Below are 14,582 nucleotides of genomic sequence, written 5' to 3'. Positions count from 1 at the left end.
CCCACAAACGGGATGGTGGGGGGCTTCTGCTGATCTCCTTCCTGGTACTCTCATGAGCTCTGATCACCTCCTCCATGGGTGTCTAGAGTCCACCTGGTTGTTTCTGGATTGTCTTTTCTTCTTTCTAAAACAAAGATCTGTTTCTAAAATGTTGAATGTGTTTGGGTCTTTATTCTAGGGAGGTTCAATGCCTGCAGCCTTTGATTACTGCAGTTTTGTTTTGAGAGCACACATTCTTTAGATCACAGTCCAGTTTAATTCTCTCTCCCTATATAATTATCACAAATCATAGTTTCAAAGGAAGAAGTAACACTGATTGATTATAATAGACAGAGTTGTACCACGTACTAAGTTATTCCCCACTCATGGGAAAAAAACTTAGGTAACATCGGGTTCTTTGTGAAAAAACTCGTTTTCTTTATAAGCTATCTGTGATAACTAGTCAAAATATGTAGAGAAACATTTCTGTCTACATTGCATTAATATTGCTGACATCTTACAAAGCAACTTGGCACGTCACTGATATTCAATCTAAATATACTGTCAACCATCTGCTCATCACACAAATATTTATTAGGCACCAACCACGTGTAAAACATAAAGGTAATACCACTTGTCTTTAGCATTTATGTTTGCATTATACAAGATTAAACATATTTGGTGATTACTTATTGGATCTATATATGTATCTGTAAAATATCTACTACATCCTCCCAAGGATAGAGAATTGGGAATCAAGGAAGCAAGTTCTATTCTTGGCACCGTCCCTGACTTCTGTGTGACCTTGGCCAGTTCTTTAATCTGTGTTTCTATTTCCCCTTCTGTAAATGGCAATGGTCGTGCTTCCCCTTTCCTATCATACACAGCTATGAATGAGTTAACTTAGAAAATCACTGTAAATTATATTTTCTTCCTTCAAAAGGGCTTGAAAGTATTTCCCAGTGTTTGCACACTGATGTTTCCCTTCTGTTTCTTGTAAACTGTAAGGCAATTTGACCATTAACTCTGAGGATCGGTAACAAATTAACAGAAAATTTCAACTTATGAAAGTAGAATGGCTGTCAGAAAAGTCTTAAATGGAGGTACAAACTCTGTGATACAAAACTGACTCTGTGATTATAATGTTAATAAGGGCCCAGTAAGGAAAAAAAAAAGTGCAGCAGCTCCTCCACCATTGGGGCCAAGCCGTATTTTCCGCAGTGCCAACCTGGACCACCTTGCCAGCCTCGATCCAGCCCAAACAAATGAAGGCATGCTCATTCTCTGCCCAGTTAGCTCTAAAGCTTTGCCTGCTTTATTTGCTCTTCTGCAGATGAGTCCCTTCAGGGTGTGAAAAATGTTGGGTTCTCAACTCATGGAAGGTTGAGGGAGAACATTATTCTTTTGGCTTTCTTAGATAAAATGGGGGGTTTTCTAAGAAAAATCTAGTAGACATGCATGGACTCTCAAGGAACCGCTTGCAAAACTCTAAAAGTAGGTCAGGACTGGAGTCTAAAATAGTTACATGCTTTAGAAGTTAACTAGAAAATAATGTTTCCCGCCATTCTCAATGACAATGTGACATCTCATGTCTGAAACACTCTTCGTGTGCACCAGCAGTAGAGTACTATGGGGGGCTGGGGTGGATGGTGTCAAGAGAAAGCTGACCACTCTAAGAGTAAGGGTGGTTTACTGCCTTCCATCCGGGGATGGGGGGTGGGGTGGCCTACAATATCACAGAAAAGCAGAGGCATCTAGGAACTCTGAGAAGGGCTTCCGAGAGGGGCTTGCCTAATTGCATTTCTCTATTGTTTACGTCAGCAAATTGGCAAAGAAAGGAGGGCCTGAGTCATTAGGGATGTGTTAGGGATAGATCATTTGGGGGAAACATAGTTTGGCGCATCAGTGGGGTATGTAAAATTAACAGGACAGAAACAAGACAATTGTTAATGGTAGTTAATTAGAAATGTACTCAAAGACCCAAATTTAATTGACTGCCAACATGAATGTCTATTATTTTTATGCTGTAACAGTTTTATGTCCCATATTTTATTTTCCACCTACACAATGAAAGTTTTAACACTATAAAAATTGAAAAAGTCAACATTTCCTGGGGGCAAAATGTAGGTCAGATGTCTGAGGGAAGCTATAATTTAAGACCTCTTCTTTTGGAAATACGGTCACATACCTCATGTTTTAATATTGATCACATTCTTCCTAAGTACACATACAATTTGTATCCATCCATGTGTCTCAACATATATTCTATGCAGTGTGTGTCTGGGTATGCAGCCTCAATTCAGCCATGCTACAGAGAATTTTAATTTACCACAAACAAAACCTTGAATCAAAATGAGGACTTTAAAGAAGACCACTTGACCAAAGACCACTTTAGCAGGACTTTGAGCTTGAACAAACAGCCAAATAAAACTGGCCATCTTATACAGGAGGCTTTCATCACAAGCCAAAAGTGAATGTTCACTTACTAATGAGAAACTTCTTGCATTCTGTTATATAATTACTGGACGAGGAAGTGCATGCTGCTTAATGTGACTGTTCGGACAACAGCCCTTATTAATATTTCATACAAAGTCCTGAGAACAGAGCATGAGTTCTTTTGCCAAAGGCCCCTTTGCCACTTTTCTCTGCTTTGTGAGATTTTCCTCCTTTTCCCACTCTTCTTAGTAATACAGTGAATATGATGAATAATTGTTTCTAATGAGTTAACTGTCTCCTGTAATTGCTATCAAACATTTCATTATGTGTTTTAAATTAAACTAAAAGGCTGAGTCACAGGAAATCTATGCGGGATGTTTTTTGTTTTTTGTTTTGAGACGGAGTCTTGCTCTGTCGCCCAAGCTGGAGTGCAGTGGCACGATCTCGGCTCACTGCAACCTCCGCCTCCTGGGTTCAAGTGATTCTCCTGCCTCAGCCTCCCAAGTAGCTGGGACTACAGGCGCGTGCCACAACACCTGGCTAATTTTTTGTAATTTTAGTAGAGACGCGGTTTCGCCATGTTAGCGAGAATGGTCTCGATCCCCTGACCTCGTGATCCATCCGCCTCGGCCTCCCAAAGTGCTGGGATTACAGGCATGAGCCACCGCACCCGGCCGCTGGATGGTTTTTATAGTGATCTTTTCAGCAAGATTCAGTGTAGCTTCTCAGGTTACCAGAAGATAGTGACACAAAATTTGTGAAGATTCCTTAAGAAGATTGGCAGAACCTCTCAGATTGTCTTTGGCCAAATTTACAGATTTTTAAAAATTGAATGAGCATTTTTATTATTGAATCTAGAAACTAATGTCCTGACACAAGATCTTTAGGTGATAGATAAGTAGAACAAATCACTTATAAAACATGCACTTCTGCCTGGGGATCTACATTTTAGTATATCTTCACTGACTTGGTAGATTGTTTCTTAAAATATGGTATCTATGTGACTTTAATGTAAAATCAGTGCCCTTTTAGGTGACAAAGCAGAACCTGTTGGATTGATAAGATGGAAAGGGCATGATGGATTTAGACTCTGGCCCTGACAGTGCCTTTTAATGAGCTTCTAATCACTAGCCCTTGTTTCTTCATACTTTCTCTAGAAGCCTCCTAGGACGTTTTGCCACCTTGAATGCAATGGTCTACTTCATTATAATAGCTGTGATAGACTTAATCAATAAGTCATTTTTGGTGCCAAAAGCCATGTTCATCCCTTTACACACATTATCTCTAATCTGAACAACAGTTTTACGGAATGGTGATTACTTGCCCTATTTTCCCATAAGTAAAACTGAAGCTCAGGGAGTTATTTCTCAGGTGTTTTCAGATTATGGTATAAAGGGGGAGGGCTGGGTACAGTGGCTCATGACTATAATCCCAGCACTTGGGAGGCTGAGGTGAGAGGATCAGTTGAGCCCAGGAGTTGCAGAGACCGGTCTGGGCAACATAGAGAGGCCCCATCTCTACAAAAAGATAAAAATAAAAAAAATTAGCTGGGCATGGTGACATGCGCCTATGGTTCCAGCTACTCAGGAGGCTGAGACGGGAGGAAGGCTTGAGCCCGGGAGGTTGAGGCTGCAGTCGTCACTGAACTCCAGCCTGGGAGACAGAGTGAGACCCTGTCTTAAATAAATAAATAAATAAAATACAAGGGGCTAGATAGATTGGTCTTCCAGAAGGTTATTTTTCCCTGGTGTCCCATAGGACTCCTCAGAGGACATCCCTGTGGATTCCCAGAGGAAAGAGCTGAAGTCTGCAGGGAATAGGTTTGGGAGGGCGCCTGCCTAACCTGGTAGGTTTGCTCTTGTCTGTCGTGAGTTAGAGCTGACCCATCTGTTGAGTTAGAGTTGAGCAGAGGATGGGAGAGGAAAGGAGAAAAAGACGAGCAGCAAATAGGTGAATTGGGCTCAAATTTCATGATATCTTTGAGAACCAGTGATGACCTACAGCTGTCTTGGGCCCCAGATCTGCAGTTGGGAGTAGAAACTGGAGTATAAACTCCAGTGGGATGAGCAGGTCTAAATAAGACCAGCCTCAGGAGGGTGGCAAGTCTAACTAACAGTTAATGGGCCTGCTTATTGTGGCACTTTCCCCTATTCGTATTGTCCTTTTCTGTGATTTTCCCACCATCCAGGGGTATTTGATCTCTTGCAGGGCAGGGAAGCCCCATTCTCTCATTTATTGTTCAGAATTAATGTCCTGGATTAGGATTCAGCAAGCACTCAGCCCTCAGTGGGCCTCACAAAACTCATGGCTATTTAGTCAGGAGAGCAATTAAAGGAGATGAAAAGGAGGGGTCAAAAGAAAATGAAGGAGGAAACATGAGGGTTTGTAGTTGATGAGGGAATGAAATGGGGACATAGAGGCTGCTAATTTCAGCCTCGGCATGCCTTGACCTAGTCACTTCAAACGATTAATTCACTCAGCATTGAAGAATGTTGAGCCAGGCACAGTGGCGTGCTCTTGTAATCCTAGCTATGTGGGAGGATTGTTTGAACCCAGGAGCCCTGGGCAACATAGCAGGACCCCCATCTCAAAAAAAAAAAAACGGAATTAAGGAATGTTAAAGATTTAATTTTTAAAAAGAGATTGTTTTATAGGTGAGAAATTGTGGCTCAAAGATAAATAGTTATCTCATCTCACAGCTACTTAATGGCAAGCTCGGGACTAGATGCATGTCTCTGATTTCCTGTTTACTATTATTTCCACCATAACACTGTATTGAGTCTCCATGGGAGGTGCTTATAATCTGGCCAAACGAGCCGACCATGGGTGGTAGATGGTGAATGTTGCAGTTTAGAGGCCGCACCAAGGAGGAGGTGGGATCCGGGCCCTGAAGAGGATGGGTAGATCTTGGAAAGTTAAATGGAAGGGGAGAGGGACAAAGATGTGATGCAGTAACACAGGCATACAAACGGGTTGGAAAGTTGAAAAGAACTTGCCAGAGATGAATGTGGTTGGTTCATCAGATTTGGTTGAGAAAAAATAAAAACCAAAATTGGAAAGGTAATTTTGGACCTGATGTGAAATTTTTTCAGTAGAGGCTGAATGGTTGAGGCAGGCAGTCACTACCTGGCTAGTGCCTGGATGTTCTGCTATCTATTGGCCAGAAGCCCACTTTGTCCCTCCTTCCAGGCTGATGGACTTTCACAGACTTATTATTGGTGGTCTTCTACCTGTGGCACTCCTTCAGCCTGCAGTATGCGCACTGTATCTCAGAAACTCTACCCTCCATGCCTGAAAATCAAAGTCTTGGGTTTTCACTCACCCTTTTAAAAAACATTACATGGGTGCATGTTATTCCAATTTCTTAGGTCTTTAATGTTCCATTTGCCTTGTCATCATCATTGAAAATTATATAAGATGATCACTGATTGCTACCTTATTGACAAATCAGCCCTTGTGAGTATGAAAAAAGTACTTGAACACGTAGGATGAGGAAAACAAAAATTGGTACTTAAAGACCATCTAGAGCCAAATATAATAGAAGATGGTGGCTGATAGAGGCTGTATAGCCTGGGGTTCCTATTTTTATTTTCTTTATAGCTAAGTTATTAAGCATTTACCTATGTGGTGTTAAGTGCTGGATATGTGCTTTATATGCATCATCTCATTTAATTATCACAGAACTTCTCTAAGAGAAATGCTAGAATTATTACCATTTTCCAGATCAGGTAGAGAGTTTGAGTATCTTATTAGGACACTAGTCCTGGTTAACATGTCAAAGAGCCTGAAAGTGAGCAGCTTTCCAGCACAACATCAACCAGGCAATTGAAAGCATATCATTTGTCACTACCAGGATTGGTTGTGTCACAACTACTTAGACATTAAAATGAGTCATTTTTAGTCAAAAGCTCACGATCCTGAAAACCAGTAGGGTGACATCAAAAGCTCACAATCCTGAAAACCAGTGTGGTGACATCAAGAGATGCAACATAGTTTAGAGTTTAAGGACGTGGGCTCTGTTGCCTGAGTCCTGGCTCTGCCACCTACTGGCATCCATTGGCTGTATGATTCTGGGCAAAATAAACCACCTCTCTGAGTCTGGGTTTCCTCATCTACAAATGGAGTTAACAGCACTGACATCATAAGGTTGTTTGAGGAAGTTAAATGTCATAATAGGTGTGAAGTACTCAGCACAGTGGCTGGTACATTGCGAGTGCTAAGTTTGTTTGCTGAAAGGTACCTGGTACTTCTAGTACTTTTAGGCAGCTCTGGGGCTGCCCACTGCAAAGCCACTTCCCTCTGAAGTGGCATCATATACACACTAATGTCCTGACAAGATGATCCATGCTATTAGGTTAATGTTCTCCCAGGAAATATATTTGCATCTTGGGACAGGTCCTCTGACTGTTTATTCCAAAGAAATCAGAATGGGACCAGAAATGGTGGCTGTTTCAGATTATTTAGGAAATCAAAGGAGTTACAGTATCCAAGGATCTACTCTCATTGGTGAATTCTACCTCAGCTATTCAAATGGTCAATCACCCAAGTCTTGTTCAGCCTATAGTAGTATATGGGCTTTTGTCATTTTACTTGCCTGTGCTCAATTGTATTCTGATATGTTTCCATGAATTTGACTTGTCTCTTCAATAAACATATATGTTTCTAAATAACAGAAGGAATTAAATCATCTAATTCTTGCAAGGGGTGTGATTTTACATCTTACATGAGATAGGAGTGAGCAAACTCTGTTTTAGTTGAATAAAATGGTGCTATTATTATTATTATTATTATTAAGATGGAGTTTTGCTGTTGTTGCCCAGGCTGGAGTGCAGTGGCGCGATCTTGGCTCACTGCAACCTCTGCCTCCCGGGTTCAAGCAATTATCCTACCTCAGCCTCCCAGGTAGCTGGGATTACAGGCATGCGCCACCACGCCTGGCTAATTTTTTGTATTTTTAGTAGAGACAGGGTTTCTCCATGTTGGTCAGGCTGGTCTCGAACTCCCAACCTCAGGTGGTCCGTCTGCCTTGGCCTCCCAAAGTGCTGGGATTACAGGCATGAGCCACCGCACCCGGGCAAAGTGGTGCTATTATTGACAAGCCAATATTTGTGCCTATCTTTGAAGATAGGCAAGAAGAGGAGGCCATTGCCAGTCAGTTTCCTATTTGCCATTAGACTGGATGACACTGCTTTGCATGTCAGCATCCTTGCCTGAGTTGAAACTGTCCATGACTATGGGTTTGTCAGGTGCTGACACTGCTGTGCTGAGGTTAGCCAGGGCCCTGGCAGATCCCATGTATCCATTAATATTCATCATTGCAAATGGAGAGGTGCTGATGGTGGTGACATAGTGCTTAGGTCAGGGGTGTATGTGAGGTCATTTGACAGTCACTAGAGCCCCTTTTTCAGCACACTTGATTGAAGTGTAGATGGCAGGGTTGACATCTGATGTGAGGTAGGGTTGACATCTGATGTGTGATTGGGTCCACATCTCATCTGGCCATTCTTTGGCAGGATCCACTCTTTCATCAGGGAGTTAACTGAGCAAAAGACAAGTGTTGCTCACCCACTGTTTCCCAAGTGATTGGGCCAGGCACCAAAGCTATAATGATGAACAAAATATAGTCCCTGTCCATACGTAAGTAGCTCTCGATGAAATCAGATAATAAACTGACAACTAACATTAATGATTTGTTTCCTGTGTGCCAGGCACTGTGCTAAGTGTGTTACACATTAAGTATCACCCTAATATTTGCTGATGTCAAACCAATCTTCTTTCAATTCTTTATTTAAATTATTTCCCTTATGTGTGCATTTTTAGTGCCTGTAATAAAACTAGTAAGACATGGTAGCATGGGGTTGCTTTTTTGAGTTGGCTATGCTAAGAACACATCCATTCCCAAAGAATTTGAGGTAGTTCACAAAAAGGACAATACATAACTAAGCAGCCTTGGTGAAGTCAAAAAATGTGTAAGACTAGTATGGAGTTACGGCCCACAGGCTTTACTTTCCAGTTGTCAAGAGCGAGAAGAAGTGAAACAAACATTTGCAAAATTAAGGGGCTCATAAGATACCTTTCAGAGAACTGAGATCCAAGAGAAATGATTTCTTCTCTCATACGCTGCGGGACACTAATAGTAGGCAAACTCCCTGACCACACTTCTTCCACAGTGAGTGTCAGCTCTGGTAACTAACATCCCTCAATGTTGGCCAATGACATAGCACCAAAGCAGAATTTATTAAAAGTGATTTTGTGGGCTGGTGTGATCTAAGGACAAAATTTTAGAATGATACAAGAAATCAACAAGACTGGTAAGCCCTCTGAGCAATCTTCTGTGACTACGATTCTCAAAGTCAGGTTTTTGACATCCACAGTTACATAACTAGGATGTTATAAAACCATGATTTCACCTCAGGTCTGACTAGCTCTAACATCTATGTTTCTTATGCTAACCTGTGATTCCCTACCTCCACTCCCAAAAGCTTTCTGGATGTTTCAGTATTGACCACTAAATAAGAAGTAAGCTGTTCTCTTCCTTTTTGTGAGAACAAAATATAATGATAGCTTAAAATATTCTCCACTGAGTGAATGCAGCTACTATTTTAAGCCTCCTTCTTGAATGTGTTAAAGGATATTTTTTGTAGGCACTCCTAATATTTTTTTAAAGATTTCTTATTTCTCAAATCACCCTTCCTCACCAACTAGTCCTTCACTAAGAAGAAAAGTGAATGAACAAAATAGGTATCCTGTGAGGCTCCTATCTGGGTGTAGCCAAGTAAACACCCACTCTTTTAGCCTTTCAGTTACCCCAGTGCGGGGCCACGAGGATCCCCTGGCCCTGGAAAAGACTGTGTGAAGGAGAGTGGGGAGCTGGGAGGGAGAGAGTGTCTGGCTTGGGGGGTGGAGGGCGGGGAGATTGCTGGCACTCACTCTAGAAGCCAGCAGAAGGAGCCAGGAGGAAGGAAAAGCAGAGGCTGGGAAGAAGGGCCATGTTCTGAGTGTGAATGGACCACAGGGCCCTCGAGAGCAGGAAGCAGCATGAGCCAAGACGCTCACGGAAAAGCTCTTATCTAAACAGAGGTGGCCCAGGACGCTGGATCCCCTCCACCATTGTCCAGGGAGCCGACCCAAAGCCCACAACCCCCGAAACTCTTCTCCACTCCCCCTTCTCCATTGAGGCAAGAAGTAATTTTCAGTATGAGCTCCAAGGCGTCACAAGGTCTCTCACTGCACAAGAAAGTCACTCCTCCAGGATCTCCTCAGCCTGACCCTGTGACCACCCTGAAGGCCCAGGCCCTTTTCCTGGAGCAAGAGGAGCAGGAACCATTCTGTCTAAACACTCCTTCCAATGCTACGCCTTTTTCTGCCAGCATCCACTCTCCTATATTGTTTCATCTGTTTTAAGAGAACGTGGCCGGCCGTGGTGGCTCTGGCCTGTAATCCTGGGAGGCAGAGGTTGCAGTGAGCCGAGATCGCGCCACTGCACTCCAGCCTGGGCGACAGAGAGAGACTCCGTCTCAAAAAAAAAAAAAAAAAAAAAAAAGAACGTGAGGGGCCTGGGATGTTGCCTCACTCCTGTAACCCCAGCACTTTGGGAGGCCAAGGCGGGTGGATCACTTGAGGTCAGGAGTTCGAGACCAGCCTGGCCAACATGGCAAAACCCGTCTCTACTAAAAATACAAAAATTAGCCAGACGTGGTGGCACAAGCCTGTAATCCCAGCCACTCTGGAGGCTGAGGCAGGAGAATCGCTTGAACCTGGGAGGCGGAGGTTGCAGTGAGCCAGGATGGTGCCACTGCACTCCAGCCTGAGGAACACAGTGAGACCCCGTCTCAAAAAAGAAAGAAAGAGAGAGAGAAAGAGAAGAAAGAAAGAAAGAAAGAAAGAAAGAAAGAAAGAAAGAAAGAAAGAAAGAAAGAAAGAGAAAGAAAGAAAGAAAGAAAAGAAAGAAAGAAAGAAAGAAAGAGAAAGAGAAAAAGAAAGAGAAGGGGGAAAGATAGTGTTTGCAGATTCTGTTAATCTGATGGCTCAGACACACAATCGCTAATGTTTTGACACGACACCCACAGTAGCAGAGGAATGTTTACATCAGGCCCTGCTACAGGATGGCCGCCATAATGGGGGCCAGCCCCGGTTGTGCCCTCTGGCAGGGTTCCAGATGGGCTTTTTTTTCCTTCCTATTTTTTTAAAAGACATTTTACAGCTTCAATTTGCTTTTCATTACTCCTCTATCCTTTTGTTTCCTAGCTTGAAATGATTCAATATTCTTTACAAACAGATTCTAATCACAGTTAGCACGTGCAGTACAATCTCATTAAACAGATAAGCAGAGTTCACACAAGTCCTCAGATTTCATCATCCAAAAAAGAAAAAAAGAGAAGGAGATTATTATCTGTCTTGAGACTTTGTAGAACTTTCTGGACCCTCTTTGTTGCCAAATTAAATGTGCTTTCATTATACATTTATATAAACATTCATTCCCAGACAATGGCTCTGGCTCAAATAGGCAGCCATCGGGTGTTGGGTACTCAAATCACCACTCACCCACACTCCTGTCCCCGGGCCACTCATTCTAGTGTTGGAGTTTGTAATAAAACAGGCCAGCTTCATCCCAGAACATGCTCACTGAGCATGCAGACAAAAATATGTTACCAAGGAGAGAAAAAAATTGTGATAAATATTGGATGGTTTTATTTTGTTGTAAGTTTTTTTTTTTTTTTTTTTTTTGAGATGGAGTTTCGCTCTTCTTGACCAGGCTGGAGCGCAATGGCATGATCTTGGCTCACTGCAAACTCCACCTCCCAGGTTCAAGCGATTCTCCTGCCTCAGCCTCCCCAGTAGCTGGACTGCAGGCCACCACACCTAGCTAATTTTTGTATTTTTAGTAGAGACAGGGTTTCTCCATATTGGTCAGGCTGGTCTCGAACTCCCAACCTCAGGTGATCCACCTGCCTCGGCCTCCCAAAGTGCTGGGATTTACAGGTGTGAGTCACAGCGCCTGGCCAGATTTTTTTTTTAATGATAAAATGTATCAGCCAGTAGAAGGTAAAGAGTTCCTATAATTTCACCATCAAAGCATGTTTATGACCAAAACGAACTAGAATTTATGCCAAAAATGTAACTATAAAGTAGTCTTCTGCCCCTTGCCCCTGTCCTTGTCCACCGATAGACAGGCACATCTTCTTTCTCCCTCTTAAAAACATAAATTTAATTTTCCTGGTGTCTGACTTTGTGCTAGTTTGAATTTAGAGGCCCCCCAGAGTTTTCCTCTGTAACAGGTGACTCTGAGCCAGACTTCTCCCATGGTGGGAAAGGTCTGGGGAGGTTTCTTGGGATCAGAAGTCACCCTACGTGATGCACAGAGCTCTGGGATAGTGAAGAGTTAGGAGAGTCTGGGTTCTGATCCTAATTCTGCTCCTTTCCCTGTGAACTTGAGCAAAGCATTTGATTTTTCTGAGTCTCAGTTTCCTTATTGATAAAAGGATTTATGAAATAAGGATCATAATGCTTGCTTCATAGGGTGACTGTGAGAACTAATTGAGGCAAAATGTGTATTGCTTCTAGCCCAAGCTTTAGTAGCACATAGTAGCAGCTCACAAAACTTGTTTCCCTTCAAGCAGCCAAGAATCAGATATTGGCACAACAGAGATTTGAAATGCCAGCTTAATATCATTTATTGAAAGAGGATCCTTTTAAAAAAATCTGTGTGTCTTAAGACTAAGGCTGTAGAGCAGACCTTCTAGAATCAATGTGGTTATTAGACTGGCAGGAAATCATTTATGAAATGAGAATTTTATACTGGATTGCTATAGGAGTCTTGGGTACCATAACAGGCACTAAACAGATGGGCAATTTCTAGAAAGGCTAAATGAAGTGTTGAACCATCCCACCCAATTCTCCAAGAGAATCGATCATTTCCTCACAAGAGAACCACTTCAAAGAAAACACAATACTTACTATCAGTAGCTAACGCTCACCCAGCTGGGCTTTCCCTTCTGATTCCACCAGATGTGACAATCTATCCTCTAAAGGAAAGAAAGTACCAGCTCTGAGCTTTAAGTAGGGGGAGGGGAGAGGAAGGCAGGAGGAGTGAAGAAAATCTAAAAATAAGAATTGTTAAAAACCAGCAATTAAGAAAAAGCACAGGTGAACACAAAGGGGTACCTTTGGGTGTGCATTGTGCATTATACTTCATTGAGTGTTGGATTTGTAAAGGTGAATGGAACCTGTCTTGAATTCAGGAACTGCAGGGTGACAAAGTGAGCTCTCATAGAAACTGTAATATAAACTGTAATTGCAGACTGTGCATGCACTGGTCATTCAACATATTTTGGTTGTGTGAGATGAGAGATGTTTAGCAAATTTTGGAAAGAGACTGACCATGTTATGCAAAAGTAGCTAAAAAAAAAAAAAGCCATGGAATCCTCAACATAGTAATGGTATTTGTGTACTGAATATTTGAGATGTCTTTTCTTACTATGTCCAAGAAGTACTGAAGCATAATAATTTCTTGTCACATGATGGTAGTACATGGATATCATGTTACTTATGGTGTTGGGGTCAAGTGCACAGGTTCTGAAATGATCCAGAACTGAGTACAAATTCTGCCAGCAGTCAATACTGTCAAGATGGTAGGTTTGGCCAGGAGCATTGGCTCACACCTGTAATCTCAGTACCTTGGGAGGCTGAGGCAGGCAGATTGCTTGAGCCCAGGAGTTCGAGACCAGCCTGGGCAACATGGTTAAACCCCATCTCCACTAAAAATACAAAAATTATCCTCGCATGATGGCACACACATGTAGTCCCAGCTACTCGGAAGGCTGAAGTTGGAGGGTCAGTTGAGCCCAGGAGGTCAAGGCTGTAATAAGCCAAGATTGCTCCACTGCACTCCAGCCTGGGTGACAGAAAAAAAAAAAAAAAGAAAGAAAGAAAGATCGTAGGTTTGACCTCTGTTGGCTTTGCCTTTTTCTGTGGCCCCAGACTGCCTTCATCTGTCTTTGGTCACAGAGAAGCCAAATACTTTTGAGTGTGGTGGGAAGAGGGCAAATTCATCACTGTTACAAGAAAATCAACCCAAAGCATGTAGGTCAGTAGTGTCATCTGCATATATAGAGGGTGGCAGTTTCCCATAATGTGTCAAGAGAAGAAGACTAGTAACTTAGACCAGATGGGGAGTTCCACAGATGGCTCCCACTTGGAATGTAGAAGGCTGACATATCACACATGAGGTCCTAGCTCCATGTGTTGGAAACATAATTGGCTGCTTTCTTTTAATTTATTTATATCAATCTCTAGTCCGAAATTAAGTTGTTTCAGGTCCAGAGCAATCAGCAGAGATGACATGGAGTACACTCTTAGCCCATAATTTTTTTTTTCCTTTCAGGGGTTATAAATACCTCCCTGCCATTGTACTTGGCATGCTGTATGCAAATGGAGGTAGGAGTCATATAGCTCATTAGGAAAGGGACGGAGGCTTGGAGCAAAGAGAGGACAGCGCCGAGCTGAGGCTGATAACAGTGGCCTTGTCCAGAATAGTGCATGGGAGCTTTCTTATCTCGCTTTGGCAGGAGGTGCTGTGGACTTCCTGTGCGAAATCAGGAGCGAACGCTGCTTTCCTCTTGTTGTTCGGCTTCCTCCCCCCTCAAGACAGTTCCCAGCACAGTGATTATCTTTGCATCTTCAAACATGGCACAATCTACTTCCTTAAGAGCTTGATGTATTCTTAAGGCTTAGGCACATTCCCCTCCCCCTAAATCTCTTTTCAAGTGCTGTTATATAGTAAGGCTTCTAAATGACATTCTATTTTTATAGCCCCAATTACAAAGAGGGAAAAATAACAGCCCCTAAATTAGAAAATAGCCACAGAATCTGTCCTTTTTATGTGGAAGAGCTGGCAATAAGTCTGGCCTATAGTTTCCATACTAGGGCTTGTGCCCTTAGTAACTGCCCTCAGAGTCATGGGTGTGGGATGGGGGAGGTGTGGGGTGTCAGAGGTCAACAGCCCCAAGTGAACTCAGATAGCAGACTGTATTTCCCTTGAGAAACACCCAGGCTTGCCTTACTCTAACATATTTCTTTGCATTTCCTAAAGCCCAAGAGTATGAAATTAAGATCTTTGACTAAGGTATCCCCGATCTTTTTCCTTGCTTTGGGGGAAAAGGAATACA

General features: G+C 42.6%; 1 protein-coding gene across 4 annotated transcripts in view, besides 1 other annotated feature; it reads left to right on the top strand.

Moving 5' to 3' along the window:
• The window catches only part of FLT1 (fms related receptor tyrosine kinase 1), a 194,783-nt gene that overhangs the window by 72,440 nt on the left and 107,761 nt on the right, over nucleotides 1-14,582 (top strand). The gene's annotated exons all lie outside the window — the stretch shown is intronic.
• Nucleotides 8,356-8,535: an enhancer, noted in NCBI's record as "active region_7512". NCBI's record gives its function as "activates an Ori minimal core promoter by ATAC-STARR-seq in GM12878 lymphoblastoid cells {active_cell/tissue: GM12878}" and the evidence as "EXISTENCE:reporter gene assay evidence [ECO:0000049][PMID:35858748]".

This window comes from Homo sapiens, chromosome 13 (assembly GCF_000001405.40).
Source record: "Homo sapiens chromosome 13, GRCh38.p14 Primary Assembly".
Classification (NCBI taxonomy): domain Eukaryota; kingdom Metazoa; phylum Chordata; class Mammalia; order Primates; family Hominidae; genus Homo; species Homo sapiens.
This window is presented reverse-complemented; position numbering and strand designations above follow the sequence as displayed.